Source organism: Homo sapiens, chromosome 2, assembly GCF_000001405.40.
Source record: "Homo sapiens chromosome 2, GRCh38.p14 Primary Assembly".
Taxonomy (NCBI): Eukaryota; Metazoa; Chordata; class Mammalia; order Primates; family Hominidae; genus Homo; species Homo sapiens.
The window spans coordinates 191,354,616-191,377,616 of record NC_000002.12 but is presented as its reverse complement, the minus strand read 5'-3'; the positions used below and the strand labels follow the sequence as shown (position 1 = coordinate 191,377,616).

General features: G+C 38.2%; 1 protein-coding gene and 1 pseudogene across 14 annotated transcripts in view, besides 1 other annotated feature; both read right to left on the bottom strand.

Annotated features, from left to right (window-relative positions):
• MYO1B (myosin IB) overlaps positions 1–23,001 on the bottom strand; it is a 179,983-nt gene that overhangs the window by 47,770 nt on the left and 109,212 nt on the right. For all 14 annotated transcript variants that reach the window (XM_047444410.1, XM_047444412.1, XM_024452914.2 and 11 more), the window contains 6 exons: positions 16,888–16,986; positions 15,246–15,349; positions 13,742–13,889; positions 13,341–13,459; positions 7,989–8,075; positions 7,325–7,390 (listed from right to left, as the gene is read on the bottom strand). In XM_047444410.1, the coding sequence (XP_047300366.1) occupies positions 7,325–7,390; positions 7,989–8,075; positions 13,341–13,459; positions 13,742–13,889; positions 15,246–15,349; positions 16,888–16,986 (623 nt within the window). The remainder of the gene's footprint in view (positions 1–7,324; positions 7,391–7,988; positions 8,076–13,340; positions 13,460–13,741; positions 13,890–15,245; positions 15,350–16,887; positions 16,987–23,001) is intronic.
• Positions 40–334: an enhancer, noted in NCBI's record as "tiled region #10229; HepG2 Activating DNase matched - State 5:Enh, and K562 Activating DNase unmatched - State 9:DNaseU". NCBI's record gives its function as "activates a minimal TATA promoter and a strong SV40 promoter by Sharpr-MPRA in HepG2 and K562 cells {active_cell/tissue: HepG2 | K562}" and the evidence as "EXISTENCE:reporter gene assay evidence [ECO:0000049][PMID:27701403]".
• On the bottom strand, positions 6,573–6,679 carry RNU6-1045P (RNA, U6 small nuclear 1045, pseudogene; annotated as a pseudogene).

Here is a 23,001-nt window from a genome sequence, read left to right as displayed (position 1 = left end):
CCTCTCCTTCATAAAATAGCTAAACTGAGACTAGAAACCACCAGATGAATAGGAAGGCCCCAAAGCAACTTTATATGTGGAGACTTTTTTGGTTTGTCAAGAACTGTGTGAATAGCCAGCAATCCCTGAGCCAGGCCCTCTCCCACGTGTCAGGCTCATGAATCAAAGTCTCCAGAAGAGGAAGTGGGCAGGAACTTGCCCCAGGAATGACTCATCTCCTCTCTCCAGTTTTCCACCCATGCTCCAAGTATGCAATTTTTCTCTACTGTCTTACCCACATTTATCCCTGAAGACTAAGGAATAAAACTAAAACTTAGAAACATCTTCAAACAAGTACCTTCTGGGCTTTCTATTACATAACCTCCCTAAATGAAGCTGAGGCTGCTTTAGAGAACAAAGGCAAACAGCAAGGTGTCTGTTCTCTGCTATTTCACACTATAGTTACCAACTATAGATTGGGATAGGGAGCACTTACTATGTTTAGAAGTATATAATATAATCAAATTTTAAACGCTAGGGCTTCTTTTAAGAATTCTAGACTTTGAGTCCATCCTTTCAACATCAAAACAAACAAACAACAACAAAAAAACAAAGCCCAGAAAATCTTATTCCCAGTCGATTCATAACTACTTTATACTCACAAGTATCAATCATAAACTCTCCAATATAAATTAAGATGTATCAAAAATACTGGCCCCTTTGTATATTCTCCTTAGCAACAAAGGAGACTGATGATATTTTATACTCTTTAAGGAAGACAGGTATTTTAAAAACTCTTAGGCTCTTTAAAAACAATAAATATTGAAAGGAAGACAGTAAATAGAAGTGGCAGCTCTGTCCCTCTGTATTTGGGACAGAGAAATGGGAAGGAGTCTGTAGGTGAATATAATGTATTTGAAACAGCGAGCAGTCCAAACACAAAGACCATGGCTTATGTTAATTACATATTAGTGTTTCTTATAGTTCAGCACTTTGATTTGAGGTCAAATTTTGAATATAACATGCTGGCTTGGGGGTTTCTACATTTTTACATACAGTAAAGTCTCCTGCATAATAAATGAGTCAATGCATTTATATAAAAGTTACAGGATTTTGAGTGTATATCACTATTTTAGGGAAGTTGGGCTATATTATTGCTGTAAAATATGCTGTTGGTCCTTGCAAAGATTTATTTGGTGTTAAAGCCTTTGACAGCTTCTGATTATAATGCTGTTCCTATAGAAAAATATAATGCACTTAACCACGGTCCATTTTTAAATATCACAGCATCAAGAAACAGGCTCCAAAACAAGAATTGCTTTTTTTAGAATGTAAACTTAAAAAATCCTCAAAATATATGAGAAAACCATTTAATATGAAATAGTCTCCTTTTTAGACATTTACAAAATTGAATGACTAGCTAAAGGTTTAGAAAATTTCCCTTAACATTTTTTCTTCCAGGTATATACTAAAATACAGCAAATTTTAAGAAAAACAATGTTATCGTGCTCTTCTTAAACATTTTAAAATAGGCTTTCATCTAAAAACTTTTTATACCTGGAAGAAATACACACATATTATTACACAGAACAGAAGCCCAACTTCACAAAGGAAGAAAATTATAATCCAAATATTCCAATTATTCCACACATTTAAGTTTGAATTTTTTTTTTTTTTTTGATACGGAGTCTCGCTCTGTTGCCCAGGCTGGAGTGCAGTGGTGTAATCTCGGCTCACTGCAACCTCCGTCTCCCGGGTTCAAGTGATTCTCCTGCCTCAGCCTCCCAAGTAGCTGGGACTACAGGAGCATGCCACTATGCCTGGATAATTTTTGTATTTTTAGTAGAGACGGGGTTTCACCATGTTGGTCAGGCTGGTCTTGAACTCCTGACCTTGTGATCTGCCCGCCTTGGCCTCCCAAAGTGCTGGGATTATAGGAGTGAGCCACCGTGCCAAGTTTGGACATTCTTATAACTGAAAAGATGGTCTGTGATTTCTGAGAAATATTTACAGCATATCCATAAAATATACACTATAAGACTTTGATTCATGAGACTGACACATGGGGAGGAGTGCCCGGCTCTGGGATTCAGGAATTGCTGGCTATTCACACAGTTGGATCCATCTATCTATCTATCTATCTATCTATCTATCTATCTATCTATCTTTTACAAATCATAGCAGTTGTCATCTTTTGTTTTTAAATCTACTTTAAATTGTTTCCTTCCTCTTCAATTATAAGCTTTCTAGCATAAGAAGGACCAAATGAAGGCAAGAAACTAGAGTAGAAGGTGCTGACTATAGCCAGAATTTCTTTTAAAAACAATTTAGAAAACAAATCCTATGATCATGAGGTGTACCTACCAGACTACAATGACTCTTGCCCAAGTATTAGATTTTTTTATTTGAAATAATCATTGCATCCAGCCTATCATACTCTTACCATATATGGGTCACTTTCAGTGAGGTTTATGAGGGCAAGATAAATAAGGAGTCCATAACTGAAAGTAATTAGCACTTTGCCTGTGTTAAACTAGCTCCACTGTATGAAAGGTGAAATAATCAGCTACTACTGCCTGCTTTGGTCTACAGAACACTAATGACCAATCAGATTTTCCCAGTAAAATATCTGCCAGTTTTAATGCCTGTCAGATAAGTATGTAGAAAACGAGCTGAAATCAATGTAGATTGTTCAACTTACTTTTTAACTTAATATCTTTTTTCAAAAAAAGAATAGCAGTTCTTTTATGGATATGCTATAAATATTTCTCAGAAATCACAGACCATCTTTTCAGTTATAAGAATGTCCAAACATAAATGTGTGGAATCAGAGTATTTGCATTACAATTTTCTTCCTTTGGGAAGTTGGTCTTCTGTTCTACCAGGATGTACAGCTAGATTTTTTTTCCTCTATGCATTTTAATTCACTTCACCTTATTTTTGGTATCAATGTTCTACTGATCTATTTTCCAAACTGACATCGGATCACATGTGGCCAGCCAGGCAGCACTTCCAGCTGGTACTGGGATGTTTTGCAGTCAAATCCATGTGTCATCAACCCATGGTTTAATGCATCAGTTTCCCTCTTCCGTTCAGAGACAGACCACAGGGAATGAAAGGTTTCCACCAGCTCAGCTAAAAAAGGCATTTTCATGGGAACTGCAGGGCCATGGGACAACTAGACGCATTTTTTTAAAAAAGTCTCGCCCTTTAGTGTCCAGTTTTTAAAGAGATGCCCAGGGTATTCTAAAAGGCAGAACTCTTAATTCCTACAGTCAATTGAAGAACAACAGAACAAATAAAAAAATACATGTTATCTATACTCCAGCAGTTTCTTTTCACTTGGGTGGAAAATATCACAGAAATTTTCATTTTTGCCTTGATGTGGATCTGAATACTTCTTCCATACTCTGACCCCTTGTACTTCAACTTGCAGTACTTTAAAGTTCTTAATTTTCTTGGTTTCCTAACACTCTGAGCTTCCTGATGTCTCCATGTGTTCTAACATTGCTGAGAATCCAGGAAAATATAGGCTGGCATCTGGGAATGTATGTGAATAATTTATTAAAAGAAGAAAAACACGTCTGTAACTCTGTATTAAAAAGCAGGTAAAAGTACCTAAAAATCCCCAACCAAATCGCTAATCTAACCTCCCCACAAATAAATTTATTTAAAAAAGTTATTAAAAATCAAAACTGAAGATTAATCTGAGAAGGCTTAAAAAGGAAAATGGAGGTAACAATTAAATATAATGAAAAAACAAATCTTGATTCTCTCAAGGAACTGGGGGGAAAAAAAGAAAAATTATTTACTGCATGTAGAAGGAAAGTTAAATTTTTATAATTTGATGGCCATTATAAGATTTGCTATAGACATATAACTGATTGGATTTGGCCTTGGCTGAAAGTTCTGTTTAAACGGAGTAAAAACCGCCTCCCAGGTTCAAGCGATTTTCCTGCCTCAGCCTCCCAAGTAGCTGGGACTACAGGCGCAAGCTACCACGCCCAGCTAATTTTTGTATTTTTTAGTAGAGACAGGGTTTCACCATGTTTGCCAGGATGATCTCGATCTCCTGACCTCGTGATCCACGCACGTTGGCCTCCCAAAGTGCTGGGATAACAAGTGTGAGCCACCATGCCCAGATGAACAGTAGGTGAGGCCCAATGTTTTACAAGGGTGTTTCATACAGTGGCCAAGCAGCATGAACACCACATGTTTGGAATCTGCAGTTTACTCCAGAGACTACTGTCTAACAGAGCATTTGGTCTCAACCTTGAGTGCACACTGGAATCACCTCAGAGCTTTAAAAAGGTTGCTGCTGCAGCCCCATCTCCAGAGATTCTGACATAATTGCTCTGGGTACAGCCTAGACATCTGAATTTGCAAAAGCTCCCCAGGTGATGCCAATGCACAGCCATTTGAGAACCACTGAAATAGAGTAATCCTCTGAAGAAAGGAAGAATATTTAGAAATGTAACACAGGCAGCCAGGCCGGCGCGGTGGCTCATGCCTGTAATCCCTGCACTTTGGGAGGCTGAGGTGGGTGGATCATGAAGTCAAAAGATCGAGACCATCCTGGCCAACATGGTGAAACCCTGTCTCTACTAAAAATACAAAAATTAGCTGGGCGTGGTGCTGCAGGAAAATCACTTGAACCCTGGAGGCAGAGGTTGTAGTGAGCCGAGATCGCACCACTGCACTCCAGCCTGGAGACACAGTGAGACTCCGTCACAAAAAAAAAAAAAAAAAAAAAAAAAAGGAAATATAACGCAGGCATTTTCATAAACTGAAGTCTCTAGTTGAAACAGTGTTGAGAAAAATGATGGTATAACTTGCAGAAGGAGGGCACATTCAGCAAGACAGGTATGGAGAGAAACTTGAATTAACCAGAAGTGAAAAATATTCTTGGATTGCTGAAGGGTATAGGGTATTTCACCCAGCATCAAGTTAAAGGATGTTTACACAGGAACATCTGACTTCTGTTCTGATTAGGTCTGTAGCAAACAAACTTTTAAAACGTAATATAGTTTCCTGATTAGACTTTCCTACCTGATAGGATACATCCTCTGGCAGCCACAGACTCTCAATCTTAGGGCTAAGACTCTAAGCTCCATGCAGACAAGGAATATCTCAGTTATGTTTACTACTGGTATCTGGTAACTCAATAAACACTTGAGAAATGACTCGAATTGTTTATGAGTTATAACTCAGTTTCCTTTGAGTGTTATAAGTGTTTCTTTTCCCATGGCTAATTAGATCTTAGGACCTACTGGAAGTCAAAGTTAACTAGATATCCCATCATAACCTCATTATCCTATTTTTTAAACTTTCCATGTGTTGTGATATGATATTAAGCCATTGCCCACTGGCTTAAGATCAATAATCCTTTTCTAGCAAAATTAAAACAAAATCAGTTTCTTTGACTTTGGAAATGTCATTGAATGTATCTTCTTAATCTAACTTTCTAGTGAAATCTCTGCTTACCCATCTCCCCTGCTCATGAAACCATTTAAATCTAGATTAGCACAGCAATGTGCTAGGTAGTAAGTCTTTTTCCCTGCCAACTGTAAAGAATGACTTTGGCATTCTGCCCATTTAGTGATAGTAACTTGAGGTCTTGCTAGAAAGAAATTAATTTCGGCAGTGATTTCTGTGTGTACTCAAGCATTTCTCCTAACTCAGAAACCTCAAATTCTTCCCTTTCTACCAAGAAATTGGTAGCTTTCCTTTGTAGATTCTGCTAAATGGGCAGCAATACAAGCAGATGCTGTGTTGAAGACCTCTGTTCTGGGGACCCCATGGGGAAGCCACCAGCACACACACTTCCATCTACGAAGCACCCAATGCTGGCCAGGAGCTTGGAGTAATGACAAGGGTGGAGAAACAGGGGAGTCAGAGACTTACCACATTTATTTTTTTCTTACTTCCAGATACTGGGGAACCTGTTACTTTGGGAAGAAAGGTGAGGAAGTGCCCCTGGTCTCAATCTTAGTAAGAAAGAAAAGCAATAAATGAAAATATTAAAAGGGCCTGGAGTTTAGGTCCTGAGTCTGCCGCTAAGTAGCTGTATAACCCTGGGGAGTTAGTTGACCTGAGGAGCTTTACTTTCTCATCTGTAAAATGGAATTCATAATAATAACAGCTACTTCATGAGGCTGTTTTGAAAAGTAAATCAGACCATACACACACCACTTACCACAGTGCTTACATACAGTCGGCCCTCAATTAGTACTTACCATTAGCTATTAAATATAGAATATGATTGAGGGAAAACATACTAAGAAAAAGGCATGTGCTAGCAAGGTCTGGTTTAGGTGAAAGGAATGATCTGATGTTTTTTTTCTGAGATTCTGTGACCCTAATTTTTTAGAACATGTAAATTCTTTGGGAACATTCTGGGCAGAGCCTGGTTCCTTAAAGAAATTCACAAATCTTACTTGTGGAGGAGAATTAAGAAAGGAGGAGCCCGATCTACTTCTTATTTCCGTGAACCAAACTAAAATACCACTCCTAAAAGTGAGAATAAATGTTTTAATAGATCCTTAAAACTCCTTCTAAATGTCAAAGTTAGCAAGGGGGCAAAAAGGAAATTCTAACATAAGTAGATAATGTTTATTTTCCAAATCACTTTTTTCAGGGGCCATGCTCATCTTCTCTATATCATTCTAATTTTAGGTATATGTGTTGCTTAACCAAGCACAAATGGTTTAAATATTTAATCTGTAACAAGCATAGAATCATTTTAAAAAATTCACCATGAGCTTCAGCAGAAATTATTTCAACCTCTGCAGCAGAATTCATTATCATAAGATCACAGTAATGAGACTCAACACATCACCTAATCCAAATCCTCTTTCTCTGAGTCTCACAGATGAAATGACCAGCCCTGGCAAGGCCAGAACCTATGTCCAGCCCTCCTGTGGCTTTCTTTATGGCACCAACCTGCCACACTTTCTAACAACACACAAATGGCCACAGACATACTCATTGTAGCTTGTTGGAAGCCTCACGGTTAGAAATTTAAATACGCAATTTCAAAAGTCAGGTACTAATACGAGTTCTTTTTAAGCAGTACTGTCTCCAAAATGCTGGCTCTCAGCATACGCACACCACACACACACACACACACACACACTCAGGCACACATGCAGGAATACACAACCAAATTTTGTTACATCTACACAAAGATTTGTTGGCAGATTCAAAGTGATAGTGTGTTACATCTACACAAGGATTATTTGTAGATTCAAAGTTACAGTTACTTATAATGTCTACATAATACAGGATTTAATTTCCAACCATTCCACTCTACTAAAGACAATACAAAAAAAATTTTAAATCTTACCTCGAAAATCTCAAAGCCATAAATGTCCAGAACACCCATGACCTTCTTTCTCACTTTTGTTTGTGCCTTTAAAAAGTTTCAAATTAAAGGGTTAATTAAGGCATGAAATATAACACTACAAGCATCCAAGGAACATAGATATATATTACAAATTAATTATGTTTCTTAAGTAAGAAAATAACTAATTTAGTTGTTTTTTAAAAAATGTATGAGATGAGGCATTGGTATAGAACTCTTTTAGAAATTTTAATAATAGGTGATATATTTAAAGAAGGCATTAGTGGTGCCTTTCAAAATCACCTAGTCCAACACTCTCATTTTAGTAATGATTAGATCATGACCTAGTGAAGTAAAGTGACCTTTTCAGCAAAGTGTGTACCACTAGTTACCAGGTGAGCCAGGCCAAAACCTGGGACGCCGACTCCCAGAGTAACTCCACAAAGACCATCAGACTATTCACCAGTCAGAAGCAACACACATGGCAAAACAAAATAAACAAAATCCCTGACAAATTTCAATCTTATACATGGTACACTCTTTTTAAGGAATAATCTTTGTAAGTGGCAATCAATTATTTGATTATAAATTTAAACTTTCTTCAACTTAATGTTTATACTGTGAATACCATTTATTACAACTGATTTTGCTCATAGAAATTCAGTACCTTAATGCTTTCATTGATTCGATTTACCAACCATGAAAACAACCTGCTGTAGAGGTTTTTAGCCAGAGCATCACGGGCATAATAAGCCTATTAAAAAACAAACAAACAAAACTTAACACCCACAATTCCACAATGCTTACTTTTAATAAAATCATAAAGATACTTTTAAAAAATATTTGAAGCTCTTTTATTTCACATCTTTGCAGAACCAGTTTTCTTGTATCATAAACAATCAAACCTTTAAGAGAATTAGGCAAATTGTTTATACACAGTTACACTTTTTCACAAACCAGGAAACTAATTTTAAATACTGCAAAAACTTTCACCACAAAGATATTTATTTCAATTTTATGGAACAGAGAAAAATCAGACGCAATTTAGACATCCAACAATAGGGGGTAGTAAGAGAAACATGCACTGAGAGTAATGTTACATAGTCATCAGAGAGTGATGGTTATGAAAATCAGGTAATGAAATGGAAATGCTCGCGTAATGTGAAAATTAAACAACTGTCTACTTAATATGATAACTATTTTTTAAAACCCTTATACACAGAAATGGAAATTCAAAGGAGATATATGAAAATGGCTTTGACTGATGGAATCTGCAAATTTTTTTTCTTCACTCAATCTTTTTTTATTTTTAAATTTTTTTGGAGACAGAATCTCACTCTGTTGCCCAGGCTGGAGTGCAGTAGCACAATCTCAGCTCACTGCAACCTCTGCCTCTTGGGTTCAAGGGATTTTCGTGCCTCAGCCTCCCGAGTGACTGGGACTACACGTGTGTGCCACCACGCGTGGCTAATTTTTGTATTTTTTGTACAGACAGGGTTTTGCCTTGTTAGCCAGACTGGTCTCAAACTCCTGGCCTCAGGTGATCCACCCACCTCAGCCTCCCAAAGTGCTGGGATTAGAGAGGCATGAGCCACCATGCCTGGCCACACTAATCACTTGAGTATTTAAAAAAACTTCCACAATGAGTTCTTTTAAGTTATAGAATGAACATAAACCCCTTCTTACGTGCTTATCTACTTTTAAAGTTATTCAGAACTACTTGACAAAGAGGCAGAAGACATATGCATCTCTATGACTCTTAGAATCCAAAGGCCGAAGAAAGTCAGGTTTGGACAGAAGAATCTAAACACCCTTAAATGCACCGAGTGCCCAGAGCATACAGTAAGTAAGTACTAATGAGATGTTTAATACCAGCATCCTGGGGAGGCCTGGAGGTTGGGTGTCAGCAGCCTAACAAGGAACTGGCCTTGGGAGAGAAAAAGCTTGAGGTTTTGTTGCTATTTTCAACATGCTGGCCGTATGTGTGTATTTTGCTGCTTCTAAGTAAAAATTGGGGTATTACTGTTAAAATTAACCAGTACATTTTTATTTTACAAAGAGCACAACTTGTTAGATTATGTGGGAATACTTTCTCTACATTTCTTCCTAAATAAAATGTAACAACTTTAATAACAGATTCACTTCCCTGGCAACATAACACAGCTGAAGATAACACCTTTTCCCTTCATCTGACATTTCCATGCTAATCCCAAACCTCCCTCCCTACTCCAATTAGGGTTAGAGAATATACCTAAGAGTTGGCAACAAACAAATAAACAAACAAGGGAGGGAATGCTTCCATAGTAGAAAATGCATGTCAAATGCTAAAACAGAGAAATCAAAATATAATTTAGATGCATCTTTCCCCAATACCCTTTCTTCTAGTTTTTGCTTTCTTAAAATAGGTAATTTAAGTGCTTAGAATAATGCCTAGCACACAGTTAGTCTATAGATGTACTTATATTGATTTCTGAAGTATCCTTTTCGTCTACTACTACCTCATGAGGCTATATAATTTCCAAATCCTTTCCTTTTTCTTCTTATAAATTCAAGTTATCTCAAAACACCACATAATTTCAAAACACCATGTTTTTGTAAATGAGCCCTTTTTCATCTTAATGTCGTCCAGCTTTTTTAGTTACATGCTATCTACTTTCAACAAGCCACTATTTCAATAAACAACTGAACTAATAGTGACAATTTATTCTGATAAATTGCTTTATATTTTTTAAAGTGTATTCACAGCCAATATTAATCTTCTTTGGTTTCTTCAACAATATTTATTCCAGGGGTCTCAAACTCAAATGTTTCCAGGGACTGTGTGATAGAAATGAACAGGAAATGATGGCTCTCTCTATTGGGGTTAGAGGATGCATTCCAGGCTAAAGGCACTCAAATTCAAAACTTAAAGAGCAAACAAACAAAACCAAAGAAAATACTACCCTTTAGTCAACTAAAAATATTGAGCTTTACCTGGCCCTAGGAGCTGCCAATTTGCCACCTGGCTGCCAATGTGCCACCCCTGACTTCCTGAGCCTGATTCATGCCACCAAATCTCCACAACATTATCCTATAAAGCAGTAAGGGAAGGAATGTCTATTCCCACTTAAGGACCACTAATATGGGGTGTAGAAACGAGGGAAGACTCAAAGTGCACTAATTCACCATCTCAGTTTCAAAGCACACTATGAAAAGACCATGCACTTCTGCAGCTGCATGAAACTCAGAGAGGAAAAGCCCAGGTGGAATGTGCTGCAGACATGGCCAGTAACAGGCATGGTCTAGGACGGCAAGTGACAAAGCAAGGTGGAGACTCAGAGATGCACAGACATGGGGCCTGCCCTCCAGGAGCTTAGAGTGGAGCTAAGGAGATCAAACTAACACAGAGGAAACAAGCAGAGGACAGGTGCCAAACTGCAAAAAAAACAGGTTCTGATGGGGGTGCGGGGTGTCTCAGGAGGCCTATTTGATCAAAGAAGTCTCCTAGGATAGGGCACAATCAGGTAGAGCATTTAGATGGGCAGAAAGAATGAGCATGACATGGGGGGTGATAGGCAGGTCGGAGCAGAGGCAGCAGGTAACAGAGAACTAGCAAGGAATAAACTGAGGTAAGCTGTGTGGGATCAGATTTCAGAGGACATCAGAAGCCAAGGAGAGAGTATGTCGGAGAAGCTGAAAAACTCTTGTCTTGAGTTTCTATTATTTCAGTATTAGTCCTCCTATCTAGAGAAAGGTCTAAATGCCTTGGGAAAAGGAGGCATGGGGCAATAAAGATGATGCTGGGGCCCAGGAATTGAAGCTATGTGGAAAGGCTAATAAAACAAATCACTTCTCACAGCAATCAAAACCTCCCAGGCAATAGATCAGTAGAACCAGATACTCTGAGTACTACATTAAAAATAAAAAAAAAAACAGTTGACTAAGGAGCCGAATAGCTGAGGATCTCTAGCCAAATTCTTTTATGCCAAAGGTTAAGAAAATGTGGAAAGTTTTCTTTAGTGATGTAAGGTGACTAAAATAAGCTTATAAAGTCAGAGGCACCTGGGCCTGGTTCCCATACAGGATGATTAAAAAAGCAAGAGTAAAACACACAATTTTAAAAAGACCCAAAATATACATATTCCTAAAGGGTCTTCTTAAACAACACAGGCTTTTTCATGGCTTCCTTACAGACTTAACAATTCCCACTCTGGCTATTGAAAATGTCCAAACTCGGTGGCTCTCAAAATGTGATCCTGGACCAGCAGCAGCAGCAGCAGTGTCACCTTTGAATTTATTAGAAATGCAAATTCCTCGGTCCTACCCCAGACCCACTGAATCAAACACTGGGGGTGAGGTCTGCAAACCATGTTTAGTCAGTCAGTCCACCAGGTGATTTTGATGCACGTTCAAGTTTAAGAACTACTGGTGCAGATTTGCCACTCTGACTGCAGACTTCACCTTTCCAGCCATATTGCTCTGAATCCTCTTTACATATCTACAGCTATAGCCAAGCTTGATTAATCCTTCTTCTGATATGTGCCCCAAATCTGGCTTTTCTCAATGTTTTCTTTTTGATATGCCCTTTCAGCCATACTTCACACATCTAAATCCTTTGATTGTTTCCATGGGGTCTTCCCTAACCTCTTACTTCCCAACTCAGGGCCTATGTGTGGGCTTGTGCTGTACAGGCTCTCAGCAGCATTTCCTTGATTAAGTAAGTTACTTCGTATCTGACTGTGAATTAGTGAGGATGACTTGGACAGATATGACAGCAAAAGCAGTAATTTAGGAGGAAGGACAGGCAATGGCTATAGCTAGGAAACGATTGCTACAAACCAAATTTCCATATATATAAAGTTATGGTATTTGCCACAGCCAAAATAACTCACCTAAAATAAGATATCAATGTTGAAAGCTAAAGACATAAAGGCATTCTTGGATTATAGTAGGAAAGGCTGGTTCAGCAACAGAGGGCAAGCCTGGCTCCACCCTACCATTTATGGAGGCTTTATGGATAGTTATGAGGATGAGACAACAAGAATACAGTTGGACAAAGTGGGGGCCTGAGTGGAAGTCCTAAGTTAGTAATTTAATTCTAGCCTGAGTCATTGACTGGTGGTAAAATGCGTAAGCCATAGCACAAAGGGTTTTAGTGAAAGGGGCTGCAGAAGCTGCCTGGGTATACATGCACGTATACAGGCATGCAACCATCCAAACACCCACCCACTTAACTTGAAGCAAAAGGAGAGAAGGCAGCAGCTCAGATTTGTGTCTTACAAAGACTAAAGACTTCACTGGCCCCAATATCAAGGGTAGAGGGGGTTCAAGAAGTAAGGCAGGGAGGCCAATTTGGCTTCTCCCACTGTCTTCTCCAAATCAGTAAATGACAACTCCATGTTTCCAGTTGCTTGGGCCAAAAACATTAAATCACCCTTGATTGTTCTCTTCCTCTTAAACCAGCTAGCACCAGCAAGTCCTGTAGCCTCTACCCTCTAATAATATCCACAATGTGACCACTTCTCACTGACTCCACTGCGACTACCTGGTTCAAGCCACCATCATCTCTGGGTTAGTGCACATCTCCTCGAAGGTCCCTCGCTTTCACTCCTTTTTCCCTGACCCTCTGCTCTCCACATCACAGCCAGAGTGACCCTTTGAAATACAAGGCAGTCATGCCACTGTTCTGCTCAAAACCCTTCAGTCATTTCCCACCTCACTTGAGTCTCCTTCCCTGCCCCAGGGAGCTCCCCTACTCTGCTCTACTGTTGCTCTCAGTTCACTGATCATACACCACGGGCTAGTTTGCTACAGCACTTGTTTCTTATGTCTACTGATTATCATCTAATTCCCTCTACCAGAATTTTAAGCTCCATGAGGGCAGGGATCCTTATCTGTTTAGTTTACTGCTCTGTTCCCAATGCCTAGAACATAGTACGATTCAGGTAACAGCCTGTAAACTAAAATCTTTGTTTATACTTATATGAAAATTAGCACAGACTTTTAAGAAACTTTCGTCTGTACATTATGTTTCACCCACCTGAGCCACATTCAGTGTAGTTGAAACTTTCTCCTGTTTGGCCTCAACTGTTCGGAAACTGAATGCTCGTTCTAGAACTGATTGATCAATGCCGGTCAATTCACAAATTTCTTTTAACTCTGTGGGAAGGCAGGGGATGGACACAAAAAGTGACTGTACACGTGCTGCTAATAATAATTTTGAAGGCTTAGGATGTTCTTTCTAAATCATAATCAAACAGATCAGTATAAAATGTATACATCAAAAAACAAAGCTTAGCCACAGTTCTATTTCTGCTCAGTTTCATTAGAAAGCTTTCTCAAACCAATGCAAAGCAAAAATTTTACTTTCTACATTAAAAAGTGGGGAGAAGTTCAAAGCAAGTTTCCTAAACAAACAAAGTTGATTCTCCACGGATGTACCATTTTTATCTTTGATTTTGCTTTCATCTAGACCATTCACTCGAGATTCGGGCTTGAACTCAATGTTCCCCAGTTTCAACACTGCTGCCACCACCGCCAAGACAGACTCAGCTTCATGATCCATAAAGCCCACAATCTGCATGGCATTCTGGGGAGAGAAAAAAAAAAGCAACTATTTTTTTCTTATAGTTATTTTCTTTTCTTTTTTAATGAATCATATTACAGATTTATTTCTGGGGAAAAAAACCCATAAAAGACAAAGCTATATCTTCAGTGGTTTCCAACTGTGATTCGAGGAACCCTGGGGGTACCTCTGGTGCTGTGGCGGGGGTTGCAGGGCACATAAAGAGGAAGACAGAAGAAACAGGAGGCTGGGAGCAGAGCCTTGGGTCCCTACTTCCACTTCAACCACAGCAGCTCAGTTTGTATGTATGTCGTTTTTTTTACACTGAGGTTTTGCTACTAGAAACAAAACCAACTTGCACAACTCCATACAAAGAAAAGCTCCTCATTCATTTTACATATCAGAAAAACTGTGGTTTGCAAAGGTGAAGAGCCCAGCCCAAGATACTGGGTAACAGGAGGCATCTGTTCATTCATAAATTTTTACGGAGTGCCAATTACGTGCCAGGCAAAGTGGTTCTAAAACCAGTCTTGGACTCAAGGTTTAAACAAAATCATGTCCAGGGATCAACAGACTATTGCTTCCATATGAAGATGTTTATACAGTTTTTTAAAACGACATACTGTAAGAGATACTTTCTTTTTGAGAACAGCTGGCTTTTTAAAAATGACTAGGCTACACAGCAATGGGAGTAATGTAAGTTTTTGTTATTGTTGTCAAACATATACAAAAGTAGAGAGAGCAGGGAAAGAACCCGCATGTCCTTTCACTCACCCTCAACAATTAACAGATGCCAATTTTGTTTTATCTATAATTCATCCTACTCTCCCCTTTCCCCATCACCACAGCTGTCTCACTTGCAAGTAAATCCCAGTTACCATATCATGTCAAGTGTATCACACATTAAGACAGAAAACAGAGTATAGTGTTATTTAAAATCATCTTTTCTAATGAATGTGGAATGCTAATCGCTCGGGTTTATATATGAGTTTCTGAAACTATATAAAAAGATTTTTTTCTGTCTCAAAAATAGTTTTGATTTAACATGATCCAAGGGCAGTTGGAAATTAACTTTTGCCATAAAAACACTTGGAATTTAAAAATAACCTTAAAGGAGTCAAACCCCAGGATAATAGAATAAGAAAGCTCCTTATGATAAATGGTAAAATCACATGCTCTAATAAAAGCATGGCCTTCACAATCTTGTGTGATTTTTGAGCTAGTAAAAAAATCAAAGTAACAAAAATAGAATTCTTGTATAATTCTAAAACCTTAGGGAGAATGAGCTACACTTTAAAGAAAACTCAGAATTGCTACCAGCTCCCGCTGAGCAATGCAGTGGTATGCAATTTAAAGCTTGATGAAAGTACTACATCTTACCCGCACGGTTCTAAAATTTGCTGCATCATCCACTCCATTCACTTTGGCCGAATCCAGACTCAGGTAGTTATACCTGCTGAAATCCCTCTCAAGCTTAAGTTTATCTATTGAATCAAAGACACAAGTTGTTAAGTTGCTTCAATAAATCCAATCTTTAATATCTCATTCCCTTTGATATCTTGTTCACATCGGTAACATGGCTTTTATATTAAGTATTGAATCAAAAGAACACAAATTATACCCAAATATCAGTAACAGCATTATTCTTAAAATGACTTTAATCACTGTGATAGCACAAACTCTGTTTTATACTTATCTAGGTAAGTCTCTTTCCAGAGTTTTTATAATAAAAAATACCTTCAATGTATTATTTCATTATAACATATGAGGTCTGCCTGGTGATTCAATATATTATTTCATTATAACATATGTGTTCTGCCTGGTGATTCCCTCACCATTGGATATTTGGGTTTTCTCTAGTTTATAATAATAAATATAGAGCAGTGATAAATGTCTTCATACCAATTGGTTTTTGGATTCATATCTGAATTATTTTGTTGGAATATAGTCCAAAAAGTGGTGTGACTGGATGGCATGCTCTGATTATAAGAGGTCCTCGCTTTGAAGTAACACCCGCAGCTCTACACAGATGGGTATACCACAAGCTCCAAGCAGATCAGTGACAACTCTGCTAGCTTGATCCTTAATAACTTTTGCTAATATATGTAGATACTTCTACATATATTATACTATATGTAGTATATGTATATATTATATATCTACATATATAATAATATAGTAGATACTTCAGGGCTGTTTTAATCTGCATTTGTTGATTATTAGTGAAGATGACTTTTCCTAAGTGGTGTTGACTTTTCATAGCTCTTCTTCTTTGAACTATTTGTTCACTACTTTTCATCATTAGCTATTAGCTATTAGATAGTATCTTTGTGGAATTATGTTAATTCTCTAAAATCCCAAATATCAGATCTTTATCTCTTGTATCAACTGCAAAATGTCTTCCCCACTATTCTTAAATATTCACCTAGCAATTTGTTTTTATAGAATTGTACTCATTTAATTAGAACCCTGATAATTTTCTCTCCCCAAACAGAAAAATCATATTCTTCCATTTTATTTTTTAAATGTATGATTAGTCCCTCCCCTAATAATCAGCTTTGGCCAAGTCCAGACTGAGGCAGTTCTAGCTGCTGAAATTCCACTTGAGTTGACTGAATCATCTGCACAGTCCTCAACACATCGGAGACGTATGGCACAGTATCTGGTGAGGTACAAGAATATTACACAAACCCTGGGGTGTGGTAGAAGCAAATACACCATGTTCTTCACTTCAACTAGAATCATAAAAAATATTCTTAAGAAGGAAGGGGCAAAGCATATGGAGTATGTTTTAAAGAGAATGCTTCAAAAAGTGCTGTGACACTGAAAATTAAAACATAGAAACAATTCAGGCACAGTGCTCATGCCTGTAATCCTAGCACTCTGGGAAGCCAAGGCAGGAGAATCGCTTGAGCTCAGGAATTAGAGACCGGCCTGGGCAACACAGTGAGACTCCCAGCTCCAACAACAACAACAACAACAACAACAACAACAACAACACCACATAGAAACAGAGACTTACTGAGGAGCTCTTCAGAGGCACCAGAGAGCAGCTGATAGAACACATGGAAGTTTCTTTCACCTCTTGGCTGTTTAACAACCCGAGATTTCTCTAAAAGATCTAAAGAGAAGAGTTAAATCATAGTATGGCATTTGTTTCACTTCCAAATCCACCATGCTTTTTTTCCTTCTCACTTTCTTTTTTCTTTCTATTCTGCAGTAATAAAATGAAATAATAAAGGAAGCTGTATTTTCAGTTCTAGCTTCAGGAAGAACCACAACTCTAATGAAAATCACCAAATTACACAGGTCACGTTCTTTTTAAATAATGAATATATAAATAAGTTACATTCAAAACACTGATTAAATATCATTTTTATACTAATAAATGCTCTTGGTTTTTTATGATGACATTAAATTCCTGAAAATGTGACGTTACAAATGTAAGCAATGAAATACAGCCATTCAATTATGAGTCTACCTAGTAATTTTAATAAAAATTAGTTAATACTTTGAGATCTTATTATGTGCTTAGTGTTTTACAGATGGTATCTCACTGAATCCTCCCAACCCTTTTATAAGGTATCATTCTACAGTTGAAAACACTGATAGTCCAGGAGTTTACATAACTCAGTTGGCAGCTTGTGGAACTAGGATTTGAAATTAGGACTCTTGCACCCACATGCCCCACTACCTGGGAGAAGCAACGTAGAGTTTGTGGATATCTTGAAGTCTTAGAGAAAGATGGTTCTCATTGAATGGAATTTGGTGTTATTTGATATTATATTTTCATTGACTCCAGATAATTTTTCAACCCATAAATCTGAGGTCTTCCCAAATTTTCAAATGGGAAAGGAGGAAGGAAGGGAGGGATGACGAGGATATTCTTGTCTGGAGCCCTGCTTATCACTCAATAGTGATACAAAAGGCTGTGGGCAAAGGCAAACTTCAACTATAAAATTCCAAATTAGTAATGTCATTATTGAGCACTAATTCTAGAGAACACACAAATTTCACGTCCCCCTAATCAGGCTGCAATCTAAAACATCACGATAATGCTTGGTAAGGGAGAGAATGATGTGCCATTTAATCTAGGAACGATCATTAAACTTTTTAATTTGTATTTCTGGAACCTACACCAGCATTTGTGGAGGAGTTTAGGTAGAGTGAAAGGATATATATTTGATGAATGAGAAGTCCTAGCGTGCTCCAAATACATAAGATTGTAAGAATAAAGAGATGCAGCATAAGAAAACATAAAATTGAGCCAACTGAAAAAGAACAAAAATATGTAAGTACAAAAATTATTAGGCGCAGGATGCTGCAGATTTTTCATGTTCTCCAGCTCTCATATGACTTGGAAGACTGCCAATGTCCTCAAATCATAGATGGAAAATAATGAAGGCTTCATATTTAGAAAACATGAAAAAAAAAAAAAACCCCAAAGGTTGAAAAGTACAAGTGGGATATAACTTAGGGAAAAAAGGATTGTGTAATAGTTACCATCTCTAAAAAATGGAATGTTTCAGTCAATTAATAAGTAAAAACTGACATGCAAAGCACAAGATAGACTAAATAAGTAATGTTAAACATGCAGTACGATTTTACTTATCATGTGACTGAGCTTCTATGGGATCCTGTAACAGTTTTAGAAGAAAAAACCCACAGGGCATGGGCAGATTCTTCATTGAAAAGCTAATTTTTATAGGAAATTCCTCAAGTTTAGAAGAAAGTGGCTTGATTACATAAAAAATATAAACAAATGCTACATTTGACTTCATCCATTCATGCACGAATTCCTTCAAACAGGTCATCTACTGCTAACGCACTATGTGCCAGCGATTTGGGAAGAAGTTTAGCACCAGCTGGACACGTGATGACCTTCCACTTGGTCTACAAAAGTCACACATGTTCTTGGCTGCTCTTGCCACCCAAACAAACAGCAGCAGCTCTCTTCACAGTGAGATGCCAAGGCCCTTGTGAGTGAGGACGAGGTGAGCTGCTGTCCTCTCACCTTACAGTGGCACCTTATAATGATGACAAGCGATTGTTTGGCAGCACTTCCACAATCACATTACAAAAGCAAACTGTAGTAGGTCAAGACACAAAATAACACCATCAAAAAGCCCGTGACAACACTACACTGTGCAACAGCAACACACTGGCCAGTCTAATGTTTGGCACCTTTTGAATAAACGCTCATAGACATTGCAGAGTGTAGAAATGGCAATGACTGTAAGATTCAGCAGATAACAACCACCAAGTTCAAGAATAATATTCACTTGCGCACGATATGAAAAGGAATGCTGGCAAAGTGTACTTCGTAAACTGCACACACTGATATGATCAGTGATTACTCTCATATTCCAATGTGAAACATGATACTAGGTGAGTTTAAAAGGAAAGGTGCAAAGGGAAAATAGAAAGAGAACCTTCCCTGACCTTTTGCTATGCGTTCAGTGCTTTTCATTTTTTATCATATTCAACCCTGAACACCTTCCCTGAGGTTGGTTTTATAATCCCTATTTTACAAATGAGAAAATGAGGCTCGCATCCCAGTCTTGGTAAGCAATAGAGCCAGAATTCAAAGCTCTGGGTGACTAGGTATCATGCTTACAGTCTTTATAATTTTCCAGCCAAAAAAAAAGCAATGTCCTTAAACACTTGGAAATGCTGTACTTTGTATAAATACATGAATTCGCCTAAGCAACTCAATCACACAAGATAAGGAATCTTTCATTACAAAGCAGTTGAAGGTTTTACCACTTAAAATGCTTACTCTATTACCCTAGAGCCTCCCATTTCAATTTCTTTATGACTTTTCTCATAAGTCACAAGCTTCCAGGTAGAAAAGTAATCAGGGAAAATGTTTGCCCCCAAATTTACTCATGCTTAAGACCATTCCTTATTGGTTTTCTTCCCCTAAATGTGCATGCACCAACATAATCTAACAGCTTGAAGCCATACCAAATAATTACTCAAAGTAGAGAACATAAATTCAATTCACTATAGGGATTCACCACCTGACCATTTTAATTTACTTAAATGTGCCCCTGAATTAAGTCAAAGCAGAACATTGGCACGGCCTTCTCTTCTGCCTTAGGTACTTCTACCACCGCCAATTGAGCCTCTGCTAACAAGACTTAGTAAAGAAGAGTTATTATTAGACACTGGATATTTAGTACAGAAGAGATATTCCAGATATTCTAATGCAGCTACATCCTCCTCACAAGATACAAATTTAAGTTTATATTAAATTTAGCATAAATTTCCATTTTAAGGTAAGAGATAAACATATTAAGCCACTCTAGTGGGGAAGTTAAGGGGGCAGGGACAAAGAAACAATGAATGAGAACTTGCCCCCCGCCCCACTGCGCTGCCGCCACCCGACTATCGACACGGAGCCTGGCCGTTATGTAGGGGCTTTCCTAGCTCGACTCATTAACAGCTAGTCCACAACACGTATAAGTGCCTGTGCATGTCAGAGACAGCCTCCCCAAGGCACAAGGTGTGAAAGAAATAGTCTAAGGCTGCACCTACTGGAGGATGAAGTTTTTTGACAAATAAATAAAAAGACATGTATTGGTCGGGAAGAAAAAAAAATCACATCACATACTTTAGGATGTAACAGAGAAAGGATTAGATAGTATGATAAAAGCTTCATTATTTTATGTATACTCTCCTCTCCTGGAAAAAGAAGTGGTCCAAATTCTTGATTAAGGCTAATTACGAAAAAATCAGCTTTGTCTTGTGAGGTGAGAAAGACAATGAAAGCTTGACTGAAAGGCTATCACTCAAACTGACTGCTCGCAGAGACCCTGTGCCTCCTCTCCAGTTGCTCCAAGACTAATATTATGAAAAAAGCATCTCAGTCGCATTTAGGTTCTTTCAATGAATTTATGCCTCTTCAGTAAAGCAAAAGGATACATTAAACAACAAGCATATGCCAGTGCATAAGGCAGATAATTGAAAGTTCGTTCATGAATGTATCTGAATCTAAAATTCTAGACCCAATCCTGAAATAAAATTAATGAAATATCTGGTCCTATCTTGATTTACTACCCTAATAAACACCAATTAACGAATGAATAAATTAATTCATTAATCTGAGGTTAATTTAGATCTATTTCAGCACCTGGTTTCTTCAATATTTGTATATAGTCTCCTTTCATGATAAATACAGTCTTTTTTCATGGTAAACGTATGTTTGTATGAAGAACAACAAAGTAAAACTGAGATAAAGAGAAAGCATCTACTTTCATATAAAGCCACCCATTACGAAGTCACAGCATTGCTCTTTTGAAATTTCAGTTGTATTGCTACAGATACTTCACAACCAATGATTGACTACTTCTGTCTTCTTCAGGAGCTTTAAAACTCAAAACTCAAAACTCAAAAAAAAAAAAAAAAAAAAGAAGCCCAGCCTTGTATGTATTATAAATTAGGCAATGTATTCTCTTAGTTTTTGATTTGTGACCCTAAAAAGGCAGATTAAAAACAGACACTTTATTAACGAATATCCACTCACTACTGAGAACTGACCCATAGACAGGAAGTCTTCTATTTCACCTCAATACATATATTCCCAGAAAACTGATCAGAGATTCCTTTAGGAAGTGTTCTAACAGGCAGTTTCATGCCTTTTATTGATGACTTTCCATCAATAAAATCAAATATATGATATAAAAGGAAGAACAAAGCTGTAAATCTCAAACAATTTAAAAGAGTAAAACCACGTTCCATACAAAATGGCATGAATGCAGCACACACACAGATTAAACAATGTGCCACGAGATAGCACATGAAGGTATAAGCCAATTGTGTCGTAAATTAAAAAGAAATGTGAAAAAAACAAAGCAATCCAGAGTAATCTGTTCCATCCTCCATCTCCATTGTGAGGAGGGTGGCCATTTCCTTTTGCTTTACATTTCCATGTGGAAGCATCTCCTTAGAGTAACTCCCCCAGCGTGCTGGCCCCTTACTCACTCCTCCCCAGGACGAGAAAAAATACTTTGCTGAGCAGTGAGATTTGCAGAAGGAAACGGCCGTGCACAGAGGGCTCAGCTCTCTGGGTTCCCCACACTGTGCACACATCTGGCTCTACTCCTCAGTGCTGTAAGACAGATGGGGCAATGCACACAAGGAGAGGCCAGCAGTTGCTTAGCGTTGTCAATCACTGCCTCACTACCAAAGTGCCAGAGGACTACTAACACATCTACTTGGGTGATAAACCAAAAGCCACTTTCCTCAACCTTGCCTTTAACAGTAATAAAGCCACTTCCTCTCCAGCTTGATTCTTGTGCCTATTTTACAAGTGCTTCCAAACTGGGTGAGGGAAAGGATATATTATCAATCACACCCCTGTATCAGTTAGTTTTTGCTGCATAACAAATCACCCCAAAACTCAGCAGCTTAAAACAATACCATTTATTAGCTCACGATTGTGGGCGCCAGCTGGATATTTCTGGCCTGAGCCAGCTTGGCTCATCTCTGCTGGGCTTGCTCATGGGTTGGTTGTCTGCTGGCGACTGGCTGGCAGCCGTCTGGGCTAAGATGTCCTCACTCATATGTCTAGCAGTTCATTCCATGTGTCTCTCCTCATCCAGCAGCTAACCCAAGCTCATTCACATGATGGTGATAGTGAATTCCCAAGATCAGCAAGAGAGGACAAACTCCAATATATAAACAATCCTCAAGTATCTGGTTGTGCTGTAGTTGCTAATTGTTCCATTGATCAAAATAAATCTCCCAGTCAAGCTTTGAATCAATGAGAGAGGGGATTAATCAAGGCTGTCGACACAGGGTCAGAAATTATTGTGCCATTTCTGGAAACAATCTATCAGACAGTGGCTGTCTAAAATAAAATGATTACCAATTATTTGACACTCTTTCGAGAGGTATGATCTGTGTCCCTGCCCCTGAAACTGTGCAAGCTGGTGCCCACTGTGACTACATAGAGTACAGCAGAAGTGACATGCCATATGCTTTCCTAGGCTACTTCAGGCTTCCTCCTCAACCTCTTGGAACACTGGTTGCCAGGATGTTACTTTCCTCTCAGAACCTAGTTGTAATACTGTGAAACACCCAAACTTGTTGTACTCTGCTACTAAGTTTGAGGTTGTAGGGGGCGGGGGGT